General features: G+C 58.7%; 1 protein-coding gene and 1 pseudogene across 19 annotated transcripts in view, besides 8 other annotated features; both read left to right on the top strand.

Moving 5' to 3' along the window:
• The window catches only part of ZDHHC11B (zDHHC palmitoyltransferase 11B (putative)), a 74,375-nt gene that overhangs the window by 11,665 nt on the left and 35,919 nt on the right, over positions 1-26,791 (top strand). For 3 of the 19 annotated variants that reach the window (XM_017010110.2, XM_017010113.3, XM_017010114.3), the window contains exons 2-9: positions 2,948-3,121; positions 4,135-4,230; positions 5,541-5,673; positions 6,146-6,367; positions 16,921-17,099; positions 17,801-18,067; positions 21,808-21,932; positions 24,506-24,661. In XM_017010110.2, the coding sequence (XP_016865599.1) occupies positions 6,146-6,367; positions 16,921-17,099; positions 17,801-18,067; positions 21,808-21,932; positions 24,506-24,661 (949 nt within the window). In that variant the 5' untranslated portion in view covers positions 2,948-3,121; positions 4,135-4,230; positions 5,541-5,673. The other 16 variants (XM_017010116.3, XM_047417580.1, XM_024446188.1 and 13 more) reach the window with 13 other exon arrangements.
• Positions 658-1,301: an enhancer, noted in NCBI's record as "H3K4me1 hESC enhancer chr5:771879-772522 (GRCh37/hg19 assembly coordinates)". NCBI's record gives its function as "activates a minimal SCP1, AML or CMV promoter by ChIP-STARR-seq in naive H9 embryonic stem cells {active_cell/tissue: H9 hESC(naive)}" and the evidence as "EXISTENCE:reporter gene assay evidence [ECO:0000049][PMID:30033119]".
• On the top strand, positions 4,135-5,683 carry BRD9P2 (bromodomain containing 9 pseudogene 2; annotated as a pseudogene).
• Positions 12,982-13,825: an enhancer, noted in NCBI's record as "H3K4me1 hESC enhancer chr5:759355-760198 (GRCh37/hg19 assembly coordinates)". NCBI's record gives its function as "activates a minimal SCP1, AML or CMV promoter by ChIP-STARR-seq in naive H9 embryonic stem cells {active_cell/tissue: H9 hESC(naive)}" and the evidence as "EXISTENCE:reporter gene assay evidence [ECO:0000049][PMID:30033119]".
• Positions 13,826-14,669: an enhancer, noted in NCBI's record as "H3K27ac-H3K4me1 hESC enhancer chr5:758511-759354 (GRCh37/hg19 assembly coordinates)". NCBI's record gives its function as "activates a minimal SCP1, AML or CMV promoter by ChIP-STARR-seq in primed H9 embryonic stem cells {active_cell/tissue: H9 hESC(primed)}" and the evidence as "EXISTENCE:reporter gene assay evidence [ECO:0000049][PMID:30033119]".
• Positions 18,593-18,642: an enhancer, noted in NCBI's record as "active region_22301". NCBI's record gives its function as "activates an Ori minimal core promoter by ATAC-STARR-seq in GM12878 lymphoblastoid cells {active_cell/tissue: GM12878}" and the evidence as "EXISTENCE:reporter gene assay evidence [ECO:0000049][PMID:35858748]".
• Positions 18,663-18,742: an enhancer, noted in NCBI's record as "active region_22300". NCBI's record gives its function as "activates an Ori minimal core promoter by ATAC-STARR-seq in GM12878 lymphoblastoid cells {active_cell/tissue: GM12878}" and the evidence as "EXISTENCE:reporter gene assay evidence [ECO:0000049][PMID:35858748]".
• Positions 18,853-18,932: an enhancer, noted in NCBI's record as "active region_22299". NCBI's record gives its function as "activates an Ori minimal core promoter by ATAC-STARR-seq in GM12878 lymphoblastoid cells {active_cell/tissue: GM12878}" and the evidence as "EXISTENCE:reporter gene assay evidence [ECO:0000049][PMID:35858748]".
• Positions 19,066-19,565: an enhancer, noted in NCBI's record as "H3K4me1 hESC enhancer chr5:753615-754114 (GRCh37/hg19 assembly coordinates)". NCBI's record gives its function as "activates a minimal SCP1, AML or CMV promoter by ChIP-STARR-seq in primed H9 embryonic stem cells {active_cell/tissue: H9 hESC(primed)}" and the evidence as "EXISTENCE:reporter gene assay evidence [ECO:0000049][PMID:30033119]".
• Positions 20,928-21,118: a silencer, noted in NCBI's record as "fragment chr5:752062-752252 (GRCh37/hg19 assembly coordinates)". NCBI's record gives its function as "represses an EF-1alpha promoter that drives an FKBP-Casp9 reporter gene in an ReSE screen in HepG2 liver carcinoma cells {active_cell/tissue: HepG2}" and the evidence as "EXISTENCE:reporter gene assay evidence [ECO:0000049][PMID:32094911]".

Raw genomic sequence — 26,791 nt, 5'->3', positions numbered from 1 at the left:
CCCATCTTCTCCGCTCCTGATCTGTGTGTGTGGCCCGTGTCCTGCTCCTCCAGACCCAGCAGCAGCCTGGCTGTCTTCCCACAGCGGCACATCGTGCCTAATTCATTCTGTCATTTTTAGTTTAAAAACTTTTTTAAAAATATTTTGTTAAACTAATACATGTTTGAGGTAAAACAAAACTACAAGAACCTAGAACAGTGAAGCTCAGATGGGCTCTGAGGCGAGTCCCCACGTGAGACCCCTCAGCACACACCCCACGCAGAGGCGGGCTTTGGAAGCATTTCTGGCAGCTGGCGTCTGAGGTCGGCACTGCTCCACCCCTTGGTGCAGAAAGGCTGGGGCTGAGTTGGGACGGGTTCCACTTTTCCCTCCAGAACTGCCTGGGCCTGGTTCTCAGCCCTCCCAAGCGCCCGTGGACTCACTCCCGTGTGACGGCCATGGGTTCCTGCATCTACTACTTCTTCTCGGCTGTTGACGGCTGTCACCCTCGTCTTCCTGGGAAGCCCAGTCACCAAGCACCTCCGCAGGGGGTGTGGCCACGTCTCTGAGGTCACACCCACTGCAGGTGGCCTTGCTCCCCTCAGCCTGAGTGGGACAGTGGACGTGGGTATCCAAGTCCCAGCCCGAAGCATTTTTCCTCAGAACGTTTGAAGGCAGTGTCTGTCTTCAGTAGATCCGGCGATGGTCTGACCCCTGTTCCTTTCTGCCCTCTCCCCCACGGCCCCCACCGTGCTCTCATGCGTGCCATCTCATGCTGCTTGCTGTGCTGAGAGGGGCTGAGCCTAGCACAGGTGGTGCCTGCCCAGCAGGGGCGCAGGGGCCGCGGGCCGGACCGTTCTCACGCGTCGTGACTCCCACCCGTCCGCATCTCTGCTCACGCACATTCTCTTCCGCCAGGTCTGAAATCGCCTGCTGGCCTCCCTCTGACCTGCCTCAGTTTCTCCTCTTCACTCCTCGCTGCCTGATGTGTCATTGCTTATTTGTTTATCACTTGTCCCAACTGAAGGCCTCACGAGGGCAGGACGTTTTATGTCCCGCTCAGCCCTCCAAGGCCAACCTCCAAGCTTATCAAAACCTCATGCAAAGCACGTGCTGATGGGCTGGGAAGTCCTGCGTGAGCCCTGAAGGTGGCTCTGAGGGGCTTCCCTCATCCCTTTGCTCCCAGGCGGGCCCCACGGGGTGCAGGTTCTCAGATGACTCTCTGAGGTGTGTGAATAAGGGTCTCTGTTCAGGCGCATCCCCACAGGAGATGAGACCACAGAACGCAGCCCTGAGTTTGAAGCATCCCAGAAGGTTCTTTCTCTCTGACCCGCACGCCCACCACTGTTCTGGGTGCTCACAAAACCCACCATTGCTTCTGGTAATTTCTCAGCTGCTCCTCCTGTCCAGCGACCCCTGCTGCAGAGGCCCAGGGGAAACACAGGCCAGGCCTGTGAGAAGCTCCTGTTTCAAAGAAATGTTGTCAGCGATAAAACTGGAAACGGTTCCTGGCTCGACACCTGACCCAGCCTTTCCACCCCCAGGATCCTGCCCCCAGACGGCCCTTCCACCCCCAGGATCCTGCCCCCACCAGGATCCTGCCCCCACGCGGTCCTGCCCCCATGAGACCCTGCCCCCATGCGGCCCAGCCCCCACCAGGATCCTGCCCCTGCATCCTCCGCTGGGTTGGCATCTGCATTTTTGGTGTCTTCCAGGGAAAGGGGTGAGTGGGTGGGGCCTGAGGCCCTTAAGGTCTTCAGTGTAGGGAGTGCCCCTGGATTTTTTTCCGGCTGTTTTGGGGGAATTTGTGGGATCTCAAGTTCAGCAGGGGCCACACTCAGGACCCCCACGATGACAGAGCCACACTTTGGCCATGACTGGCGCTGAGAACTCCAGATCTGAGAGGGCTTCGTGAGTCCCAGGGTTGGGACACGCACATGTGTCCTCGGCACGGACCCTCCCACCGGCTCTTGTGTCTGTGGGCAGAGGCCATGTTCAGCTCTCAGTGCAGTGCTGACGGCCCACCTGGTGTCCAGGCCCCTTTGGGAAGCAGCTTTCATGCCCTGAGTCCAGCACCTCAGCCTTGAGTCCTTCAGGGCCTGACTGGGTCTTACCGAAGCCCATGCATGGTAGGGAGGTGGCCTCGGCAGCCCTGCCCTGTGGCGTAGCCCTGCGTCCCCAAGCCCTGCCTGGGTGGCACCCCTCAATCTTAGCCCCACAGCCCAGCCACCTGCTCTGGGGGCGGGCGCCTTACCAAGTCCAGAGGGCATCCCTGCACCCTGACACCGGTGCCCCCAGCACTGCCTCAGCCCTGCACACTGGCAGTCCCCTCCCCTGGCTGGGGCCAGGCCCAGGGCTCCTGGGAAGAGCATCCTGAGGCACCCCCAGGGCCACCACACACCCTCCCCAGCCTAAAGCTCCATCTAAGGTCAGAGGCTCTGCAGTGGGGAGGGAGCGGCTGTCGCACGACTGCTGTGGACCTTCCCAGAGGAAGGCAGCACGTCACAGACCCTGGGGAGTGCGTGATCCCGAGGTGTCCTCCAGAGCTGCAGAGCGGGCGTCCACAGGAGGGACAGTGGAACTGCGGCGGGGAGGGGACCCGGAATAGGCTCTGATGCTGCCAGTCACACACTGAGCCTCCTAGGCCTGGAGCCCCTGGCACCCAGCTCAGCTCCCACCCTGGGCTCTGCGTGCTGCTGGCTTTATTTGGCTTAGGGGGTCCTTGGCCCAATGATGGCAGTGGGCAAGGCCTCGCTTGGCTCCACTCTGCCCGGGGCTGGACATGCGTGCCTGCGGGGCAGCTGGCTCCAAGGGTCTGAGGGGCCTCACGCCCAGCCCCAGGAGGGCCTGCCCATCTCAGCCCTCGCCACGTCCTGGTGCTCATTGGTATGGCGGGGTTTCCTGGGCTGCACCCGGCTCAGCTGGGACATGGCCCGGGTGACACCTTTCTCCTCTCCTTCCTCCATAGCAACATGGCTGACAAGGCCAAGCCTGCCAAAGCTGCCAACAGGACGCCCCCCAAGTCCCCGGGGGACCCCTCGAAGGACTGGGCAGCCAAGAAGCTGTCGCTGGAGTTGGAGGACATGTGCACCGAGTGGTGTGGACGGCCGTCTCGCGGGGCTGTGGTGCTGGTCAGACCTCGGTCAGGGCTCCTTGGGAGCAGCGGGACTCGAGCCACGTTCCTGAAAAGCTGCCGAGAGGCCTTTAAGGCCAAACCTCACTAGCATCAGGAAGGGTTCACATCCCGAGCTCAGTCTTCAGCAAAGACCAGAGTGCTGGCCCACCCTGCTCCTTGAATCTGGAAAGCAGTCTTAGAAAAAGAAGAGCTGTTAGATGATTATGTCCAGGACAGTGTTGAAGGATGGCGCGCACTAGGCCTGTCCAGCCCGTCAGGGGCACTTTGTTGGCCTGGAAGTAATTAAGAGGCTTGTCCTTTGAACGAAAGTGTGATCACTTGGGTTTGAAACGCACTCGCGGGCTCGCGTGAGGAACGTGCAGCCTGGCACGGGTTGCCTCTAGATTCCTGCTTCCCTCGCTCTCACCCGCATGCCTGCTGGTGGTCTTTCACCCAGCTCCACCATGCCAGCGTGGTTTTCTCCAGTGTGTGAAGGATAGAAACGGGCTGATCTATATAATCTTCAGCTTATTTTCCTAAAGAGGATGGACCGTTGATCCATATTTAGCTTATGAGAGTGTTGAGACCGAGGCAGCGGTTGGGAACTGAGGAACTCCTGCTCTGATCCCATGAGTGGTGTGTGGGTGGTGACTTGAGCATGGCAGACATGCTGTCAGATGCACGCGCTCCAGGTACACGCCACCGTTTCGCTGTTAGAACACGCAGGACAAGATTTCTTCTTGGAGTTGTTGAGTGATCCATTTGAAAATGTTCTCAAAGTATTGCTGGTGTGGTGGCCAAAGATGTGGTATTTTTTATTGTGTTGACTTTGGGGTGATAAAGAAATGAAATTGAAATGCAGTTAGTTTTGAGAATGGTAGTTGGCTTTTGCAAATTTGTTTTCAGGTGATCATTATAAAATCCCCCCACCCGCACCAATCACATCCACTGTGATGTGGAGAAAGGGCTCATGGCACTGCACTGGGGCACCGCGTTGGGGTCACACCTGCCACTCACGGCCCGCCATGTCCGTGTTGCAGAGGAGGAGACCCACCCGGTGGACTTGAGCTCGCTCTCCAGTAAGCTACTCCCAGGCTTCACCACGCTGGGCTTCAAAGACGAGAGAAGAAACAAAGGTAAATCCATAGTCCCGTCCCAGGAGCCAGCCGGAGCAGGGAAGGTGGCAGGGGTTTAGTGGAGTGATGGCAAATGCTGCTGATTCGTACTTCAGAGTTTCCTCACTGTACCTGGATTCATGTTTTCACATGGGTAAGATTGAGATCAGTTACAGTGACAGGAATGAAACTCGTGTTGGATGGGGACACACACAGCGGGCACCTTGGTTGCATCACTGGACTTCACCTTGGTCAGTGTTTTGGGGTCCTTGTGTTTCTGTCCCTGTCGCATTACAGAACATCCCTTCAGGGGTCAGAATGTGTGGCCCCTGGGCCTTGGGTCTGGCCTGTGTGTTCTCTCCATCTGCACTGCTGCCTCCTGGCTGCGCTGCTGCTGGGACCTCCTGCATGGCCCCACCCTCCACTTCTCCACCTCTGCTGGGTCCCTCCCATGCAGACAGCTGCATGGACACTGCTCCTGCCGGCCCTTTCTGCCTCAGCCACTCACACCATCTGCTAATGGGACAGCTCACTCTTCCCTCCAAACCATGGCCTTGGCTCAAGAGCTTCCTTGTTTCTGGAATGTTCTTTCCTCCAGCTCCAGGTGTTGAAATTCTGCCTGGTCTGGGTCTCCTGTTGAAGGACGCCCTCCACTGGGAAGGATCCTCTTGCCTTCACCACTTGTCTTCACCAGCCCCTGCTCCCCTCTTCCTCTTGGGGCTGTTGTGGTTGTTGATACTTTTTTTTTGTTGTGTTTGACACACATCTTCTTCTCACCCTCTAACACAGTTCTCAACCACAGCACTTTTGTCCCTGGAGATGTTGGCAGTGTCCAGAGGCGTGTTGATGGTCCCACTGGGGTTGGGGGTGCTGCTGGCACCAGATGGTAGGGAGATGCCAGGGGTGCTGCTCCACACCCTATGGGACACTGCACAGTACACCTGGCCTGTGTCCCCCACAGCGAGAGCTGGCCCTGGGCAGGCGTGGTCCCTGCGGTGTGTGTTGGTTGGGATCCTCCACAGTGACAGACGGTGCGCTCTGCCCACGTTTCCACACAGCTCTTTTGCTTGTGGAGCTCACCCCTTTGCAGAGAGCTCATTTCCCTGCGGTCTTTGGCCTGCAGAAGTAAAATGAGGGGTGGTGAATTACACCCCTGCTGGTTACACATGGAAAACTCAGGAGTGAGAATTTTGTGGAGAGCAAGAGAGGTGAGACTGGGGTGCTGGCTGCCAGCCAGGCGGTCCCTCAGCCCCTGGAGAAGCGGGGTGGGGCCTGCACACCGAGTCCTTCCAGTGAGTCCAGTGATGCTCTCTTTCTCCTCTTCCTCCCAGTCACCTTTCTCTCCAGTGCCACTACTGCGCTTTCGATGCAGAATAATTCAGCATTTGGCGACTTGAAGTCGGACGAGTTGGAGCTGCTCTACTCAGCCTACGGAGATGAGACAGGCGTGCAGTGTGCGCCGAGGCAGGTGTTGGCCCCGGGGAGCCCTTGGCTGCTGTCCAGCTTCAGCTGCGCCCTGGTGTGGGACCCGGAGCCCCACATGTGTGTGGGTGGGGAGAGGGCCATCCCGCAGCCGTCCAGATGGCAGCTCAGGTCTTCCCGTTGCTTTCAGTCATCCACCCAGGTCTGCCACAGGCCAGGTCCTCTGCCCAGGGTCCTCCACACCCTGGAGAGCCATTTTCTGTTGCCACTCGGCTCTGGCCAGGGTCAGATTCTGCAGCATGTCTGTTCATTCCCCTGGACAGGGCCCTGCACCGACTCCAGCCCAACCCCTGCTCCCTCTGCGGGGAACGTGGCCCCAGGCAATGCTGGGCCATTGGCTGTCAGTGCTGGTCCTGGGGGCCATGTTCCCAGTCCCCGTGGTCTCCCTGACAGTGGGTGGGGCCGGCCCTCCCCGGAGCTGATGGCGCAGGTCCTCCCCTTCTGTGTCCTGCAGATGGACACCCGCTCCGGGAGCCAGTGTTCCGTCACCCCAGAAGCCATACGCAACAATGAAGAGCTGGTCTTGCCGCCCCGCATCTCCAGAGTGAACGGCTGGTCGTTACCCCTGCACTACTTCCGGGTGGTGACTTGGGCTGTCTTCGTTGGCCTTTCCTTGGCCACCTTCAGGATCTTCATTCCCCTCCTGCCTCACTCGTGGAAATACATCGCCTATGTGGTATCCTTTTCATCGTGGCATGGTCTAAGCGGGAGGGGTTCCTGGAGGACCCTGCGATGGACCTGGCTGTGGGGTCTGGGCCATGGCTGCCCGGTGGCACCAGTCACCTGTCCTGGGCCAGACTATGTCCCCCGAGCCTGCAGGTGGGCCCAGTGGCCATTCGTGCTCTGTGCAGCCCCTGCTCAGGGTCAGGACAGCTGCTGACCCCACATCAGGCCATTCCTGCGTGGCCCATCGTCGGGTGGACAGAGCAGCCACTGACCCTATGTCAGACCGCTCCCACATGGCTCAGGGTCAGGTTGGACAGGGCAGCCGCTGACCCCATGTCAGGCCGTCTGCTCCCATCTCCCAGCAGGTGGGGGACCTGGTTCTGCTCCCATCTTCCAGCGGCAGGGGTCCCGGGTCTGCTCCCGTCTCCCAAAGAGGGGGAAGCCCGTGTCTGCTCCTGTCTCCCAGTGGGTAGGGGACCTGCATCTGCTCTCACCTCCCATCAGGCGGGGACTCATGTCTGCTCCCATCATCTTCCAGCGGGTGGGAGCCTGTGTCTGCTCGCATCTCCCAGGGTGCATGTCCATGGGGCATGTGGGCTCTGCACTACCTCCAGCTGACCATGGCATTCAGTTGAGAAACCCCAGGCCCCCTAGGGTCACTGAGACATGGATGTGTGGGGACAAAGGGGCCTGGGGAACAGTTGGCCTGCGTTCGGTGCCTTGGGGCACTGGAACCATATTTCTGAAAGTAGGATGTGTTATTTCTCACTAGAGCCTTCCTCAGTGGGGAAGTGGTGACACTGTGTCCGGAACTGGTGGGTTCTTGGTCTCACCAACTTCAAGAATGAAGCCGCAGACCCTCGCGGTGAGTGTTACAGTTCTTAAAGGCGGCGTGTCTGGAGTTTGTTCCTTCTGATGTTTGGATGTGTTCAGAATTTCTTCCTTCTGGTGGTTTGGGGTATCCCTGGTTCAGGAATGAAGCTGCAGACCTTCACTGCGAGTGTTAGAGCTCATAAAGGCAGTGCGGAGCCAAAGAGTGAGCAGCAGCAAGATGTATTGCAAAGAGCAAAAGAACAAAACTTCCACAATGTGGAAGAGAACCCAAGCAGTTTGCTGCTACTGGCTTGAGCAGCCTGCTTTTATTCCCTTATCTGGCCCCACCCACATCCTGCTGATTGGTTCATTTTACAGAGAGCTGATTGGTCTGTTTTACAGAGAGCTGATTGGTCCGTTTTGACAGGGTGCTGATTGGTGTGTTTACAACCCCTAAGCTAGACACAAAAGTTCTCCAAGTCCCCACAGAGCACTGATTGGTGCATTTACAAACCTTGAGCTAGACACAGAGTGCTGATTGGTGTATTTACAATCCCTTAGCTAGACATAAAGATTCTCCAAGTCCCCACCAGATTAGCTAGATACAGAGTGCTGATTGGTGCATTTACAAACCTCGAGCTAGACATAGGGTGCTGATTGGTGTATTTACAATCCCTTAGCTAGACATAAAGATTCTCCAAGTCCCCACCAGATTAGCTAGATACAGAGTGCTGATTGGTGCATTTACAAACTTCGAGCTAGACATAGGGTGCTGATTGGTGTATTTACAGTCCCTTAGCTAGACATAAAGGTTCTCCAAGTCCCCACCAGATTAGCTAGATACAGAGTGCTGATTGGTGCATTTACAAACTTCGAGCTAGACATAGGGTGCTGATTGGTGTATTTACAGTCCCTTAGCTAGACATAAAGGTTCTCCAAGTCCCCACCAGATTAGCTAGATACAGAGTGCTGATTGGTGCATTTACAAACTTCGAGCTAGACATAGGGTGCTGATTGGTGTATTTACAGTCCCTTAGCTAGACATAAAGGTTCTCCAAGTCCCCACTAGACTCAGGAGCCCAGCTGGCTTCACCTAGTGGCTCCCACACCGGGGGCAGGTGGAGCTGCCTGCCAGTCCCGTGCCATGTGCCCGCACTCCTCAGCCCTTGGGTGGTGGATGGGACCGGGTGCCGCAGAGCAGGGGACGGTGCTCACTGGGGAGGCTCGGGCTGCGCAGGAGCCCATGGCAGCGGGGAGGCTCAGGCATGGCGGGCTGCAGGTCCTGAGCCCTGCCCCGCAGGGAGGCAGCTGAGGCCCAGTGAGAATTGAGCACAGCTACAGCAGACCAGCACTCCTGGGGGACCTGGCGCACCCTCCACAGCTGCTGGCCTAGGTGCTAAGCCCCTCACTGCCCGGGGCCGGCAGTGCCGGCCGGCTGCTCTGAGTGCAGGGCCCGCTGAGCCCATGCCCACCCCGAACTAGTGCTGGGTTCCCGCCTGTGCCTCTCCCTTCATACCTCCCCACAAGCCGAGGGAGCCGGCTCTGGCCTCGGCCAGCCCAGAGAGGGACTCCCACAGTGCAGCAGTGGGCTGAAGGGCCCCTCGAGTGTGGCCAGAGTGGGCACCGAGGCCGAGGAGGTGCCGAGAGTGAGCGAGGGCTGCCAGGGCTGCCAGCGTGCTGTCACCTCTCAACACCACTGCGTGGTCCTTGGGCTGGGCCATCCCGGGCAAGTCTCTGGTAAATGGTGAGCGTGGTGTGTATCGCTGTGGTGCAGGCAGGGAGGTGTAGGGGCTGGATGCAGAGTGAGCAGGTGCCATGAGGACAGCAGCCTGCCAGCCTGAGTGCCTCAGCCATGGGCAAGGCCATGTCTCTCTTTCCTGAAACTTGTTCCTGTGGCGTCTTTCAGTTTATAGAGGTAGAGAGTACAGTCAAGCGGACCCGCAGGTGCCAGTCACCTGCTTCAACAGTGAAGCTTTTGCTAACCTTGTTTTATATCTCACATGCATGTGTATCCGAGTAACCTTTAAAAATCTCGGACATCGGGAAATTTCACCTGTAAATGCTCCAGTTTGTGTCTAACAAACTTTTATTTTTATAACACCATGCTTTATCTCACTTAAAAATATCTCACTTAAAAATTATATAGCCATTTCTTAACATCCTGTATTCGTTCTTATCCATGTGGCCATTTCCCCAATTTTCGAAACAAGTCTCTACAGATGCGTGGCTCACATCAGGAGCCCACGTGCCATGGGGCTGCTGTGTCCCTGAAGCCCCCTTTCCTCCATCCGTTTTGCTCCCAGGCCTTTGACTGGTCAGAGAAACTGATGCCTTTGCCCACAGGAGGCCCCTCAGTCTAGACTTGGCTGGATTTTTCCCCAAGTGCAACAGTCTCCCTTGTGGGAAGGCTTTTGATAATGAATTCAGTTTCTTTGATAAAAAAGCTATTCTGTTTCTCTGTTTTCTTGTTTCTATTTTCATAGGTTGTATTTTTCTTCTTCTTCTTCTTTTTTTTTTTTTTCCCGAGATGGGAGTCTCACTCTTGTCACCCAGGCTGGAGTGCAGTGGTGTGATCTCGACTCACTGCAACCTCTGCCTCCTGGGTTCAAACAATCCTCCCGTCCCAGCCTCCTGAGTATCTGGGACTACAGGTGTGTGCCACCACGCCCAGCTAATTTTTGTATTTTTCAGTGGAGACAGGATTTCACCATATTGGCCAGTCTGGTCTTGAACTCCTGACCTTGTGATCCACCCACCTCGGTCTCCCAAAGTGCTGGGATTATAGGCGTGAGCCACCGCGCCTAGCTGATAGGTTGTGTTTTTCAGGAAATTGGAGTATTTCATGTAATTTGTCATATTTCTTGGAATACAGGTGTTTACAGTGTTTCCCACAATCCTTTTCCCATCTGTAGGGTCTGAGTGCTGCGCCTTCCTTCCTCACTATCCTGGCCATTTGTGTCTTCCTACCTCTTCTTCATCAGTCTTCCTGGGGCTTATCCCTTTTATTGATCTTGAAAAGAGTCAGCTTTTTAATTATTAATTTTCTCTATTGTTTGCCTGTTTTTATTCTATTAAAAAAAAATTCTGCTTTTATTTTTACTACTTCCTTCAACTGACCTTGGGTTTACTTTGCTTTTTTTTCTATCATCTTAAGACGGAAACTTAGGTCATTGATTGTAGACCTTTCTTACTTTTTAATGTGTGTTTAAAGCTATGTATTTTCTGTGAGCACATGCACAGACCCGGGCATGCACAGACAGATACACACTGCCAGTAAGGCTTTTGGCCTCTCATTCAACCACCCCATCTGGCTTAGTGATTCAAGGGTGTCTCCCTGGGGATTTGGGGCTCAGTCTCTGGGTCTTGGGGTGCCTTGTGCAGCTAAAGTTCCCTTGGGAGGTCAGGCCACACCCTATCTACAAGTCTGAAATGGGCTGGGTCCAGCTGGTCTCACAGAGAGCCTTGCCAGGGGTCCAAGGATGTGCTTTAGTGAGAGACGTGGGTGCTGACTGTGGCATACACTCATCCTGGGCGCTATCTTGCTGCATCCCTCTTGCAACCTGCGTCTTGTTTGTAGGTGGCTGTCTGGGGCTGTGAGTGGCCGTTGAGGCTGTGAGTGGCCATCTGGAGCTGGCATGACTGTCCAGGGCTGGGAGTGGCCATCTGGGCTGTGAGTGGCTGGCCGGGACTGTGAGTGGCCGGCTGGGACTGTGAGTGGCTGTCCAGGGCTGTGAGTTGAGTGGCCATCTGGGCTGTGAGTGGCCGTCTGGGGCTGGGAGTGACTGTCTGGGGCCATGAGTGGCTGTCTGGGCTGTGAGTGGCTGTCTGGGCTGCAAGTGGGCATCCAGGGCTGTGAGTGGCTCTCCAGGGCTGTGAGTTGAGTGGCCCTCTTGGCTGTGAGTGGCCATCATGGCTGTGAGTGGCCAGCCAGGACTGTGAGTGGCTGCCCAGGGCTGTGAGTTGAGTGGCTGTCTGGGGCTAGGAGTGTCTGTCCAGGGCTGTGAGTGGCTGTCTGGGGCTAGGGGTGGCTGTCTGGTCTGTGAGAGGCTGTCCAGGGCTGTGAGTAGAAGACTTTGTGTCCCCCTGTCTGCTCCGTGGCCTTCCCAATCCTAAGGGATTTAGGGAAGCAGTGCTCACTTCCCAAGAGGCCTTTTCTGAGAGGCCCTGAGTGTGCCCAGTCACCAGAGTGGGGGTTCCATGGGGTTCTAAGGCCTGGACACACATGTGGGGGTTCAGGCTTCTACCATGGGAGGTGCTGGAACGTGGCAACCCACGTGTCCACCCGGCACACACTGCCAGCCTTGCGCCCCTCCACTCATCAGGAGGACAGGTCATAGTTCTGAGTAGTGGCCTCTCTCTGCCAGGCCCAAGGTGTGCCCTGTGGCCCTGCTGGCATTCCCCAAGATCCCCTGCCATTGGCCCAGCTTCTGCTGTGGCCCAGCCTCCGAGTTCTCCACCTACATCCCTGAGTCCCCATACCCCCAAAGCCTGGGTCCTAGATGGCCTCCCCCACCTCCAGGGCCCAGAAATCCACAGACCCACAGAGCTGCATGGCAGCCCCATTGGCCCCGGGTGTCCTGCAGTGAGGGATGAGGATGTCACTAAAGCCCACAGTCACTAACCCTGTGCTGCACGGCCCACCTCCCTGCTCTAGCACATGCCCTCCAGACACGGGTGTCCTCCTGTATTGCACCTTCATGGCAGGTGAGAAGACAGGCTGTGATCGGACCGTGGTCAAGGCAGTCCACGCCAACATTCTCCAACAGCCCCCAGATGTGCTTGACAGGATTTTTTAATCCAGAATCCGGCCGAGGTTCTGGGCATGTTGCGACGGAGTCTCTTGGTGTGTTTAGGTCAGCACAGCGCCCGCCTGCCTTTTCCTGGCAGCTGCTGGTATCTCCTTGACCACAGCATCATGGCATATCCAGACCAGTGTCTTGCTCCACCACCTGGGGGTCTGTGTGGTTGAAGCTGAGCAGTTTCAGAAGAACGCTGCACAGGTGGTGGTGGCCTGTCCCGCTGCACTGTCAGGAGGCCCTGTAGGTGGGGACGCAGCGGTTCCTTGGGAGGGTGGGCCGGGTCACTGCCCCTGCCAGTCCGGAGTGGTGCACATGTGGACTCTGAGTCTCAGGCATATCGCTTTCTGTTGCAATCCTCATCTGAATCACAGTTACGCTAGGGGTGTAAAATGCTGTGTTTGCATCTGCGATTCCACCGCAGGGCCCAGTGCATGCTCTGCAGAGGAAGGTGCCCTCCCCTGCTGCTTTGGCCACCATCTGTCTCTCTCCCTCAGCATCACCAGGTGGCCGCGGCGTGTCCTGGGGCTGCCATCACAAAGCACCAAAAACCGGGTGCCTGCAACAGCAGACATATCTGGTCTCACAGTTCTGGGGCCCGGGGTCTGGAATCGGGTGCTGGCTGCACACTGCTCCCCCTGAAGCTGCTGGAGGGGATGGTTCTGGCCGCTCTCTGTGGCTCGTCTTCTCGTGTTCACACCGTCTTTTCTCTGCGTGTGTCTGCTGCCGTTGGGTTCCCGTTTTTGTAAAGATGCCAGTCATTGGAGTAGGGCCTACCCGAAAAGACCTTGCCCTGACAGGATTATCTGCAAAGACCCTATTTCCAAGCGAGGTCACATCCACGGGTGCTGCGGGTTAGGGCTTGGACCTATGTGGGGGATCGAGTCGACCCTCCACACCTGGCTGTTTCCTTATGTGCTGTTAGAATCCCTTCTCTCCACTCTTCCTTTGGCCCGTGGCTCGGCCACGCGTGCCTCTGAGCTGTCACCTGCTCTCTGGTAGGTGAACCCTCTGTGGCTCCCCTGTACCCCCCACTCCACACCTGGATCTCCATTTCTAAAGGAGCACTTGGTGCCCCAGCCCTTGTCCATGCTGCCCCTCCCGCTGGCCGGCGCTGGGCTCAGGACGGCATCCCCGGCTGCACTCCCCATGCCTGCACCTCAGCGACCCCCTCGGGCCCCTTGGCCAGCAGCATGTGGCTTTGCATTGTGGCGGCTGGAGGGTGCCTGTGCTATCCGGCACCTGCAGGGACCCGGGCGGCTCTGGGAAGTGACCTCCCAGGCCCAGTGGCTGCAGCCCCTGACCCCAAGGGAGGTCAGGTGCAGGGTAAGGGATGCTGTGTTGTGGAAAGTGGGGAAGAATTGGAATAAAGACCCCAGGTTAGGCGGACGTTTGAGTGCCAGGCTTGGCCAACCGTCCAGCGGCCGCGTGTATGGGCCCTTCCAGAGCATGCCTCAGTGCCCGCGTGCCCGCGTCTGTTCTTCTGCAAAGGGAAACAGGCTCCGCCGCCACCACAGCGTCTGTAGGGCCTGTTGTGTGGAATGGATTGGAATCTGTAACTCTGTTTAATCTGGAGAAATCTCTTCCCAGCAAAGCTCCTTGCTGTGGCCCAGGGCAGCACGAGCTCGGTAGCTGCAGTGGAAGATTCACCAGCATGGAGTGGCGCGGCGCCTTCAGTGGCACGTGTCAGCTTTGAACCCCGCAGGGATTGATAAGACGACAAGACGTGACCGCACCGGGCCCCAGGAGTAGGGGCTGTGGGCTCGCTCTCCACCTCCTCTCTTTTCCTGCCTGCAGAACAGGGCGGGGGAAAGGTTAGCAGTGTTAACAAAGGGCGCAGGGTGTGTGTTCTGGGCTGGCGCTGCGGCGCCGTTTATTTACAAAATACAGATTGTTGCTAGGGGAGGTTCCAGCATAGCTACGGTTCTCAAGACAGCTTGAGACCGAAACTTCCAGAGGGCAGGCAGTTTGGGTGATGAAAGGGAGACACTTACTCTACTTCTTTTACTTTTTATTGCTCATTGGAACATAAAACACTACCGGCATAAAATTAAACGTGAAAGTAGAAGCAGAGAAAATTGAGAACACGGTGCTCCGTGTCATCTCTATCCCGGGGCTCCCCGCCAGCTCAGGAAGGGTTACCCGAGTGGGTGATGGGCAGAGTGGCTAGCTGGGTCAGTCTGGGCAAAACATAGCCAAATTAAGGTCACCAGCATCGTTCCTATGGGTGACGGATGTCCCAGGAGGACGACCCAAGCCCACCCGCAGAGCGCGGACCTCGCTGGCCAAAGTGCGGCCAATGGACAGCAGGGCACCCTAGTGTGCGGTGAAAGATTTGCTTCAACCTGGTTCCATGAAAAAAGCTTTGAGTCCCAGGGAGCTGTCCAGGTGAAGACACTGCCCTGGAATCTTGGTGGGGGGGAGTCCCTTGCCAGCTGAACCCTTGTTTCTGGGTGGACGCCTTCAGGGTGACTGCCTGGCCATGGCGCCTGCAGGTTTGGGGACTGGCTCGGGAATGGGCTCAGGCAGCTCCACGGGGTTTGCCTGGCAGGTTCAGGCTCAGGACAGCCCTGAGCTCCTCCACAGGGAAGTCAATGGGTCCCGGTTAGGGCCACACCATCCCCAGGCTGTCTCCTGGTGGCCCCCAGCAGCAGCACCGTCTCCCTGGCAGCGGGCTTCTTTGTGCGAAGCCCGGAGAATGTGAGGCTGCAGTCGGATGTGGCGACCAAGGGCCTGGGAGGGCATCCTCAGCCTGAGCTTCACCTGCTGCTCGTGCAGAGGCCCTGCCTGGCCCCACCCTCCCTGCCACTGGTTTCCAGTGAGGGAAGTGCTGCTCCAGCTCTGCAGAGGAAGGGGCTTCCCCTGGGCCACAGTGCAGCTTCCTGCCTCATCTCATTGTCCTCAGCTGCCACCGATAGCGTCCCAAGGCTCCAGACGAGCTCCCTGTTGCCCCGGTGACCACATAAATAGTGCAGTGTCCCCAGCTCAGCCTGCAGGGAGCGGGTACATGGGGACAACAGCCGGGATGCAGGCTCGGTCATGTCAGTGTCACCAGCTGGACAGTGAGCCCTGTGCCCGGCCCAGCTGACCCACACCCTTTACAGCCCCTGCAGCCTCAGTCCACTCCCAAGTCCGGTGGGGCCCCTGCAGACCTCTCCTCTACCATGGTGGGATTAGACTGGCCACTGCAAGTGTCTGACCAGTCCTGGCCCCCATGTGAGTCCCCCAGGGCCTGGCTGGCCCCGTTGCTGCACTGCCTAGCTCCCACCACACCCCGGCCTGGGCAGCAGCTCCCCAGTCCCATCCCCTTGGCATCCAGATCATTCTCGCCTGTCCTCCTTGCAGCCATGTCTGCACACACAGAGTCTCCTCCCCAGCTCACACACACCGGCACCCAGGGCCCGGGGCCACGTGAGTGCCTGGAAGATGCAGGGTGTGCGGTGCATCCTGCTGAGGGATTCGGCACCTGTGTCTGCATTTCAGTCGGAACCAGCTTCACACTCAGGCTTCCCATGCATTGCAGCACGCTTCTTACGGGACCCTCATCAGGGAAGGGCTGCTGCATAAAAACCCTAACCCCATGCCCCAAGGTGGTGCCAGGACGAGGCTGAGGGTGAGCCCAGCAGCAGTGAACCTGTCCCAACGTTGCCTGAGGGGGCTCCAGAGAGGGGCTCTGTCAGGAGGGACAGCAGCCCCCTGGCCTGGTGCAGGACCCGCCCTGCTGGCAGCCTTCTGCTAAAATCCCTACGTGGCTTTTTGCACATGGCCAGCACCTTCTTCCTCACCCCTGGGGCCAAGGAGGACAGCGCTGTGCGACACAGGCCGGCAGCCTGCGTTTCCATGCCAAGCTTAGGCCACACTGTGAGGGCCTCTGGGCTGCCCTGTGGAGATGGCTGTCAACCCTGAACTCATGGCTAGAAGGCGGTCCAGGAGCCAGGCAGGGTGACGGGAGGGCCCCGCACTCCACCCCTTCTATTTGGTTGCCATGGGGAGTCTGTGTTTGTCCCAGGGTGAGAGGAGGAGGGAGCCAGTATCTGAGGGCGGAAGCTGACGTTCCAGTCACGGGGAGCCCAGCTTCTCCTGGCTCCAGGGGACAAGGACCCTCTCCCCAGTGCCCCCACAGCCAGGCTCCGAGCCCAGAGGGCCCAAGACAGAGGCCCAGGGTCCCTGAGTGAGTCTGGGCTCCCTGAGAGAGTCTGGAGTCCCTGAATGAGTCTGGGGTCCCTGAATGAGTCTAGGGGGTGTTTCCCTGAGCAAGTCTCGGGGAGAGGGTCCGTCAGTGAGCCGTCTGGGGTCTAGAGGGAGCGGGTAGGTTGTGCAGCTCCCTCGCTCCTCCCCCTGCTCCTCCTGTCTGAGGCTGTCTTCTCTCCCAGTGCTCAGGGGTCTCTGGTATGAAAGAACCCAGGCTCCTCCAGGGCCTTTGGGGCTGTATCCGGCTGTGTTTACACCTGGGGCGTACCTCCTGTGGCCCTGCTCTGTCCCTCAAGCTGTAAAGGGTTTTGGGGTCACTGTGCTTGGCTGGGCTGACTGAGCCTCTGGGGGTGCGGTACATTCTGTGGGGGATTTGCCCTGTGTCCAACAGGGATGAACCAAAAGGGGCATGGGGGCAGCCTTCCCGGTCCCCGACTGGCACAGGGCTGTGTGTGCAGGGCCGATGGGTAGCCTCATCTTCTCTAGGCCTGGGTGAGCAGGGCTGTGTGTGCAGGGCCGAGTGGACGGGGCTGGGTGAGCAGGGCTGTGTGTGAAGGGCCAAGTGTATAGGGCCATGTGTGCAAGACTGGACAAGCAGGGCCATGTGAGCAGGGCCAGGCCTGGGTGAGCTGGGCTCACGTGTGCAGGGCTGGGTGAGCAGGGCTGACCAGTGGCCACGCCTCTTCTGGGACCTTGGGCCTCACGGGGACGCCTCATGCCAGGCTGACCAGGCCCTGGGCCAGGTTCTTCCTTGACATGCCAGGTGACCGGGGGGATCTTCTCGTTCCACCTCGTCGTCCACCTGATCGCGTCCTGCATCGACCCGGCCGACTCCAATGTCAGACTCATGAAGAACTATTCTCAGCCCATGCCCCTCTTCGACAGATCAAAACATGCACACGTGATCCAGAATCAGTTCTGCCACCTGTGCAAGGTCACCGTGTGAGTGCCCGCCCTCGCCGAGGCCCCAAGGTGTCAGGGTCACCTCCAGGGTCCTGGTGCTCAGGTCACTGCTGGCCCCTCAGGGCCCGTGCCATGGCCGCAGCTGATGCTAGTGGAGCTTCCAGGGCCCGGCCCTGTGGCTGCGGGTGGATCGCCCCTCATCTCGCTGTGAACCGGGCGCGGTGCCGGGCCGCCCCAACTCCTCCGCAGGCAGGGCTGAGACTGGAGGGCTGGGTCTGTCACCTGCAGGTGACCCGCTGCTCCCCTGGAATGAAACACAGCAGCACTCAGGCATGTTTGGTCCTCAGTGGATTTTGTGCACGAGGTCCCTCCCCTGAGGGCCCAGGGCAAGAGAGCACTGTCTTTCTTGGGGAGTTTCAAGACAAGCCCCTAGGAAAGTGGGAGGTAAGGGTTCCAGTGTCTCCAGGGGCCCTGGAGGCCTCTGTGATGGCCTAGGGGGTGGCTACAGGGCTGTTGTCAGCTGCAAGGGAGGCCCTGTAGGCACAGGTGGGATCCAAGCCCCCGGCCTCAACTCCTGGAACCATGGGGCAGGCGCGGCCTCCTCCAGGGCCATGGCCCAGAGTGAGGCTGGTGTAGGATGGCTGGCGGGGGGTCTATGCTCAGGGCGGCCACAGACACAGCTCCTCCTGCTCTGTGGCTACCTCTGCCCACAGCTGCCCTGCTTCTCCTCCTCCCCACAGGCCTCAACACCCTCCCCCAGCCTCCCATTCCCTGCTGGACGCCCTCTCCCCAGGCCGCACAGGGCTGGTTCCTCCGAGGCACCTGGCTTCCAGTGATGGACCTCTGGCCCTGCCCCAACCTGCGCACTTGGGGCCTGACAGGCGTTCCCCGATTCATCCCTCCAGGAACAAGAAAACCAAACACTGCATTTCCTGCAATAAGTGTGTGTCCGGCTTCGACCACCACTGCAAATGGATCAACAACTGCGTGGGAAGCCGGAATTATTGGTGAGGGGCACAGAGGGGATGGCCGGCACGGGCCAGGCTTGGGGGAATTTGGAAGGGAGGGGTCTGTGGGCAGGGGTCCTCGTGTTGAAAGGGTGGAGGGTCCTCTTGGGGCCACGTCCCTGTCCTGATGTGGTGGCGCTTGGTGCCTGCGTGCCCCGGCCTCCTGTCTGGCTCTGGGGCTGTGGTGCAGCCGTCCCTGGACAAGCTCATCCGCATAGAGTAAGTCCCTGGAGGCCCCCCGGGGGCACTTGCGGGGCCACGCTGGCTGAGGCCTCCTGACCACGCTGTCCTGGGCTGGGCTGCCTTCTCTCCACCCAGGCTGAGGCTCATCCAGCACAAGGGTGGGGCCACGGAAGGGCAGTGGGCACCCAGCGCAGATGGACGAGAGGTGTTTCCCCTGAGCATGGTGGAGGCTCACAGATGAGAGGTGTTTCCCCTGAGCACGGTGGAGGCTCATAGACGAGAGGTGTTTCCCCTGAGCACGGTGGAGATGCAAGGAAGAGAGATGTTTCCCTGAGCACGGTGGAGGCTCACAGGCGAGAGGTCTTTCCCCTGAGCATGGTGGAGGCTCACAGGCGAGAGGTGTTTCTCCTGAGCATGGTGGAGGCACAAGGATGAGAGGTGTTTCCCCTGATCACGGTGGAGGCTCACAGATGAGAGGTCTTTCCCCTGAGCGTGGTGGAGGCTCATAGGCGAGAGGTGTTTCCCCTGAGCACGGTGGAGGCTCATAGACGAGAGGTGTTTCCCCTGAGCACGGTGGAGGCTCATAGATGAGACGTGTTTCCCCTGAGCATGGTGGAGGCTCATAGACGAGAGATGTTTCCCCTGAGCATGGTGGAGGCTCATAGATGAGAGGTGTTTCCCCTGAGCACAGTGGAGACTCATAGATGAGACGTGTTTCCCCTGAGCACGGTGGAGGCTCAAGAACGAGAGGTTGTTTCCCCTGAGCACGGTGGAGGCTCATAGATGAGAGGTGTTTCCCCTGAGCACAGTGGAGGATCCAGGGACTCTCAAGGCCCCGTGTGCTGAGCCCCGGCTGTCTGCAGCACTGTATTGTGAAGATCACCAGGGAAAAGAACCACGCCTGCTCCCCAGCTACTCTGTGCTGACCTGAAAGAGGCCTTGGTGTGCGTGGGAGTGGGGACCAACGTTGCCTGGTGTCACAGGACGCACCGGGGGGTCCCTGCCCTGCCTCCCTGCCATCCCGTCTGGAGCACAGCATGTGTCCAGAGAGGCTGAGCAGCCCGGCAGGGACAGAGAGGTTGCATGACCGCACAGCGAGTCCAGAGGCTGCGTGAGATGGTAGGGGCCGGGGAGACCCACCCGCCTCCTCCCCTGGAGAAGAGCAGCTCCACGATGGCCAAGGTGGGGCCAGCTCCTCTGGCTCATGCTAGCCCCAGGTGCCACTTCCTTCTGGACTCATTCTGCTCTGGTGCCTCGAGCTGGCTCAATCTGGCGGGTCCTGGTGGGGAAGGTGAGGGGGTGAGGGCCCACAGGCAGGTGGCAAGGAGAGGGTCTGCCTTCCTCAGGAGGGGTGCTGGAGAGGGACCACGTGGGTGCCAAGTGTAGACACCGCCTGTGTGTGGGAAAGGGGCATCAGGAGAGCAGGGCCGGGGTCATGGGCGCCCTCAGCTCCAGGCAGCAGCCAACGCCGGCATCTGTGCCAACCTCGCTTCTGTCCCTTCATCCGCCAGAGGCGGAGAGAGCAACGGCATTGAGAGCAAGATGAGGAAAGTTGAGGAGCTGATGGCAGAGCCCCCGCGAGGGAGGCCGAGCTGATGGCGGAGCCCCCATGGGGAGGCCCAGCTGATGGCAGAGCCCCTGTGAGGGAGGCTGCATACTTCGTAGTGATAAGAGAGGAAGGGGGACGGAAAGAAGGCAGGCGGCGCTGGTGTCCTGGGAAGACTGCGAGCGCTGGCCTCGGACTCTGCAGGTTAAACACAGGCAGCAGGGGCAGGAGGCTGTGCTAACCAAGAGGAGAATGTCCCTGGGTGGCTGCGGGGAGAGGAGGCCCCGCGTGAATGGGTCTGCCCCATCCTGTGGGCTTTGGTCTCTGTGGTCTCTGGTCTCTGTGGTCTTAGAGACCCGCCTTCTTTCCTGGATGAAGAGGGGAGTCCTCTCCAGACAGTAGGATGAGGATGAGGGGTCTTTACTCCCCACAAGTGGGCTCGAGCCCAGGAGGACTGGGGGCAGGGTAGGGCGTGTCCACTGCCTGGAGGGGCTGCTGCTTGGGAAACCTAAGCTGTGAGAGGGAAGGCAGTATGAGGGAGCAGCAGTCAGGGAGCCGCTCACGCCCGGAGCCACCCCTCACCCCTGGATTATCCAGAAGACTCTTGGAGGGAGGAGGAGCGCGGGGAAGGCAGCTGTGCCCTAACTGCGTCTTCGGACGACTGCGGCATTCATGCTCTGGCCTCCAGTTGAAAATAGAAAAAGGGATTTAAACAAGCTTAGGTGAACATAATACAATGGAAAGGATTAAAGGAGGTTAAAGGATACTTTAAAAAAAATATCATCATGGCAGAAAGACCAAGGGAAGATGGTTTAGTCAAAGTGTGTTCCAGGAACTGCTGCCCAGAATTGGTTTTTCTGGATGGATTATTCTCTGCATCTTTTGAGCAAAGACGAGAGACTGGGAGTGGATTTGGTCTCAGGTCTACAGCATGGACATCGCTTTTGGCTCAGATTTGCACAAGACCCTTGGAGAAGGGGGGACTGCAGCCGAGGTGTGGCCGGGCTCCTCCAGGGCCTCCTCAGCCTGAGTTCCCTTTGGGTGCAGAGATCCAGGTCCCTGAGCCTGCAGGCCCTCCTGGGTGCCACGGCACTCTCATGGCTCTCCCCTTCCCTGGCTTCAGTGCCTTTGCCCAGCATGGTGCCATGGAGACCCCAGCACAGACCATGCTCAGGGCCCCCTGAGGGGACCCAGCCTGCGTGCTCCTTGGCTGGTAGGGAGGCCTGTCTGCATCAGGTGGAGTCGGGAGGTGCGGGCAGAGGCCCCAGAGCTGTGACACTGGAGACGCCGTGTGACCCTCATGCTCCGCTGGTAGGCTTGGGCGAGTCGCACCGCATCTCTGACCTCACTTTCCCCACTCGTGAAAAGGGCTGGTTCCCCCTCCTCACAACCTCATTGTTCCTTGTGGGGATTAAAGGCAATCACGTTTGCAAGAAGCACTGCCTGAATTGTCAGGCGGTGTGCTGGTGGGAATGTCCCACGGCCACCCCTCTCCAGCGAGAGGCCTGGAGACCTGGGGGGGCGTCACAGGATGGCACAGAGACAGGAGCCTGAGCTTCCAGGCATGGTCGGGAGCAGGGTTTGAGGCCAGCATCGGGCAGTGGCCAGGAGCCCTCTCTCAAGTGGACGCCCACGCTGACCTGTCACCTCCACCCTGCGGGCTCCAGATGCCCTGCGCGTCCCCATCCCTGCCTCTGCACCCCCCACCTGCCCTGCATGCCCCCACCCCTGCCCCAGATGCCCTGCGTGTCCCTGCCCCTGCCTCTGCACCCCCCACCTGCCCTGCATGCCCCCGCCCCTGCCTCAGATGCCCTGCGTGTCCCTGCCCCTGCCTCCCCGCCCCCACACCTGTCCCACACCTGCCCTTGCGTGCCCCCTGCCGCTGTGCCCCCCACGCCCGCCCCTGCCCACCCTGTGCACACCCCCTGCCCCCGTGCCCCCCACACCTGCCCCTGCGCCCCCACTGCTCCCACGTCCCCACCCCCATGCCTGCCTGTGTGTCTCCCGGCAGGTTCTTCTTCAGCACTGTGGCCTCGGCCACAGCTGGCATGCTCTGCCTGATCGCCATCCTGCTGTATGTCCTCGTCCAGTACCTCGTGAACCCCAGGGTGCTCCGCACGGACCCCAGGTATGAAGGTACGTGGCCGCCGCTCTCAAGGGGCCTCATCCTCGCCTCCAGCCGTCTTTCCGGGCGGTAGTATCGGGTCTGGGGTGGTCGGCCCCTCTTGTCCCAGGGAGAGGCCGGGGCAGGCAGCCCCATGCAGGCTCTGACCTGGCCCGACGGCAGCAGCCCAGTGTTCATACAGCCCAGCAGCCCCCAGCGCGCGGGAGGCAGGCTCGGGGAGGGCGCTGGCCACGCTGCTCTGTAGATGCTGCCAGGTCGTGTCAGGCGAGAGACAGTGGGGTCCACCTCTGCCCCTGCCCTCCGCAGTCAGCCCTGTAGCACCTGTCACACCATCCTGTGGGGCCATGTAGCTGTGGGAGGGTGGGGGTGCCCATCCTGCAGGAGCAGCCCATGGGGAGGGAGAGTGGAGGCAGCGCTGAGGGTGCTGGGCTGTAGGCTGCGGTGTGCTGAGGCCCTTGGCCAAGTGGGCCCGGAGCCTGGGCCTCGGGAACCAATGCTCACACTGAGCCACTGGAGAGACGTGGCGGTGAGGACTGTGGGCTCCAGAGGCGAGTCCACGCCTAACCCAGATCCCGTGATGCCAGCATCCTCGGGAAATGGGCCTGCGGCTGTGACTTAATATCTGAGGTGGGAGGGTCATGCTGGGATGTCCCAGGGAGCCCAAATCTAGCCACGAGTGTGCTTGTAAGAGAAAGGAGAGACGCAGAGGGGAGGGGGCCTCGTGAGGATGGAGGCAGGGGTGGAGTCACACAGCCACAGCCCGGGGTCGCCCGGAGCCACAGGAGCTCGCAGAGGTGGGAGGACCTCCCTGGACCCTGCGGAGGCAGCGCGCTCAACTGTCCTGCAGCTGGACGTCAGAGCCCTGCCTGCCTCAGACTGCAAGAGTCTGCTGGAGAAGCTGCCCCCACCCGCCACCATTTGATGTATTTATTGCAGCAGCGCCAGGACCCTGACCAGGAGGACCTGGGCCAGAGAAGCCCCTCGGGGTGCAGGACAAGACTGCCAGTCTCAGCTCCAGGCATGGCTGCACCCGCACTGCACACAGCCCGGGTGGTGAGACAGGGAGGACTTGCCTGCCCTTGTTCCAGAACATTCCGGAGCCAACACGGTGTGACATTTTTTTCAAGGATGAGCTTTGCCAGCTCCACGTGGAAGTCCCTAAAGCTCCTCCTTCCACTTCGAAGCGTGACTGATGCCTCCAGGGCCTCACAGCCGCTTCTGAAGCACTTCCTGAAAGCCAGCTCCACCCTGGCGAGGCCCTGACCTCAGCGGACCCAAGCCCAGGACGATGCCTGTTGCGTTCTTCTCCCCCTGTAGCAAGTCACCTTCCCCAGCAGCCTCCATGTTGTCTGGGCTCTCCCTGTGGGGGATGCCAGGGGAGAGTGAGAGAGCAGAGGTGGCCAAGATGGCATGTGCTGCCTTCTCTCCTGGAACATGCTGCTTCCACACGGCAGTGCCAGTGTCTTTGTGTGAGTTCATTGATTGTGGCCTGAGCGAATTCCTCCGTTTGCTGTTCCAGATGATTCTGCAGGGCTTCAAAACCAGCAAGGCCCTGAGCAAAGCAGCTCCTTGTTCTCATGGGCTGAACTCATCGTGATGTCACTGGCTAAGGGGGGCAGCATGGGGTCCAGCCCGGCCCAGGCACTTTGAGCTACTGTCCCGTCGGGCCATCTAGGAAGGCCCCCAAGGCCGCCAGTTCCAGAGAGGGTCCGTCACCCAAAGACATCCACACTGAATCCAACCCTCTGCCATTCTGCCTTGCCCGACCCTCTGCCATTCTGCCTTGCCTGGCCCTCTGCCATTCTGCATTACGCCTGATTTTTGGAAGTGTTGTGGTTTTGAGTGTTGGCAGCCCAGTGTCACAGAGGACCATATCTTAGAAATGACCCCAGGTGAGAGCTGTGGCTTTCCTGTTCTATTTGAAGGCGGCTGTTTTAGGGTGCAGAGGGTCCAGGGACACAGCGTGGGCCATGAGGAAGGGATGGATGCTGGGACTCGGCAGAGCCAGCAGGCGCTGTGACCCTGGTACTTAGTGAGGAAGGGGTGGGTGCTGTGACCTCGGTACTTAATGAGGAAGGGGTGGGCACTGTGACCCTGGCACTTAGTGAGGAAGGGGTGGGCACTGTGACCCCAGCACTTAGTGAGGAAGGGGTGGGTGCTGTGACCCCAGCACTTAGGAAGGGGTAGGCACTGTGACCCCGGCACTTAGTGAGGAAGGGGTGGGCGCTGTGACCCCAGCACTTAGGAAGGGGTGGGCACTGTGACCCCGGCACTTAGTGAGGAAGAGGTGGGCCCTGTGACCCCAGAACTTAGGAAGGGGTGGATGCTGGAGCCCTGGCACTTAGTGACCCTGTTGGAGCGTCACCTCCCAGATCCATAAAGCAGGGATCATGAAAACCAACCTCAGTCAGCAGGGCCCATGGGGCACTCAGGTAAGGAAGGTGTCCACCAGGGCAGGGAGGCATCCCTCGTGCTGGCTGTCTCCACGCCGCCCCATCCCCAGCAAGCTCTGGTCTGTGACATCCACCTGATGTGGCACCCGTCAGCAGGTGCTGGACACAGTGTCTCTCCCTTGTCTCCCCAGATGTCAAGAATATGAACACGTGGCTGCTGTTCCTCCCCCTGTTCCCGGTGCAGGTGCAGACTCTGATAGTCGTGATCATCAGGATGCTCGTGCTCCTGCTGGACCTTCTTGGCTTGGTGCAGCTGGGCCAGCTGCTCATCTTCCACATCTACCTGAGTATGTCCCCCACCCTAAGCCCCCGATCCCCCCAAGCCTGGTTGGTCAGAGCTGCTCATCTTACACCTCTACTTGAGTATGTCCCTAACCCTGAGCCCCCCACACCTGGGGCCAGAGTCTTTGTCCCCCGTGTGCGCATGTGTTCAGGGTCAGCCTCTCCCAGAAGTGAGATCATGGACAAAAAGGGCAAATCACAGGAAGAAATTAAATCCATGAGGGCCCAGCAGGCCCAGCAAGAAGCTGAACTCAACGCTGAGACCTGCAGGAGCGCTGCCGGGTGCTTGAAGTAACAAGTTTAAAATGTTCAGAGAAAATGGAATGGAATCTATTAGGCAAGAACAGGACATTATGAAATAAGGACAGGTGGACTTCCAAAAGCACAAGTAGAAATTCTAACAATGAAAAATATTACAGGCAGATCACCCACTAACCAAACAACTGAAGCGAGAGCTGGTGGTCTTGCTTGGTCTCACAGTGGGCACAGCGGTAGGCGGTCAGTCATGTTGCTGAACGACGGAGGGTAAACTCCCCAGCCCCAAGGAAACCTGTGTTGGAAGTAACAACAACCTCCCTGCTCCTGGCACCAGCCGTTTTGGTCATGGTGGGCCAGCTGCAAAGCGTCTTCCATTCTCTGGGCAGTGGTGGCCCCGAGGCTGTGGCCTCTCAGGGGGTTTCTGTGGACACGGGCAGCAGAGTGTGTCCAGGCCAGCCCCCAAGAATGCCCTGCTCCTGACAGCTTGGCCAACGCCTAGTCAGGGCAGAGGGGATCGGGTGGGTCAGGCTCTGGGCTCACCTCCATCTCCAGAGCATCCCCTGCCTGCAGTTGTGGCAAGAACGCCCAGCTCAGAATGAACACACCCCACCAAGAGCCTCCTTGTTCATAACCACAGGTTACCCTACAAACCACTGTCCCCACACAACCCTGGGGATGTTTTAAAACACACACCTCTAACGCACATCTTACAGTCACTGTTGTCTTGCCTGAGGGTTGAATTTTTTTTAATGAAAGTGCAATGAAAATCACTGGATTAAATCCTACGGACACAGAGCTGAATGTGCTGTTTTCAGAGTTTTAATTTTGGATGTCAAGGCCAGTGCCTGTATAGAATAGGTGCTTAGGATATGTTTACTGAATGGAATGGAACTAAAGCCTCAGGTGTAACTTCATGGAGACACGCGTCTGCCTTGTAGAATGTTACAGGCTGCCTGTTCCTGAAGCTGAAACCCTTAAGAGTGAGAAGTCATTTGGGCCTCCTTCAAAACTCTCCACCCTTCTTAGAATCAGGAATATTTTTAAAAGTACTTTCTAGAATTATCTAGCAATCTCTCTTATATTTAAATATTTTTGGGTTTACCACCTATGAAGGCTTTTCTGGAGTTTCACTCCACCCAGAATTCATCATCTCTCCTTATCAGGAAATCTCTCACCCTCAGATGCTTAGAGTCAGGGTGAGTCCCCCCACAACAGGAGAATCGGCCGAGGTTGGGCCGAGGCCACATGGTCTCATCCACATGTGCCGCAGATTAAGGGATGCTCAAACTGCCCAGTAATACAAAGTCTGCACTTGTCATTTTTTTCCAACTTTGTGTACAAAATGTTTCCCTGGGTTAAAATAGTCAATGCCCACTGTGTGCTGAGCACGTGGGGGGCTGCAGGCTCCTTTGGGTGAGGCATGGTCACCTGCACGCTGCGGGGAGAGGATGAAGAATGAGACACAAACAAGTGTGGCTGGCCCTTGTGCTGCAGAGAAGCTGGCCCTTGCCTCAGGTGGCAGAGCAGGGAAGTGCAGTGGGCCTGAAGCCATGCGGGGCTGGGAGGGATGACCTGGTCTGTCCTCTGAGCCAGGCACTGCACTTGGAACGGGCTTCTTGAACGCAAAGCCCAGACCAAGTGTGGCAGAAACATGAAAGGACAGGCAGGCGGCTGCTGTGGGCAGGAGGCAGGATGCCTGGAAGCAGGACGCCCAGGCCTGTCCCCACCCCCGTGACCCAGAGCCTCCCTGGGCAGTGACTCCGGGATGTCCAGGAGCTTCTTCTCTACCTCACAGGACTGGAGGGGCTGTGGTGAGACGCATCCTGTGAGGGCTGGGCTGGCCACAGGCAGCTCCCCAGGGTGCCCACCGCCATCTG

This window comes from Homo sapiens, chromosome 5 (assembly GCF_000001405.40).
Source record: "Homo sapiens chromosome 5, GRCh38.p14 Primary Assembly".
NCBI classification, from domain to species: domain Eukaryota; kingdom Metazoa; phylum Chordata; class Mammalia; order Primates; family Hominidae; genus Homo; species Homo sapiens.
This window is presented reverse-complemented; position numbering and strand designations above follow the sequence as displayed.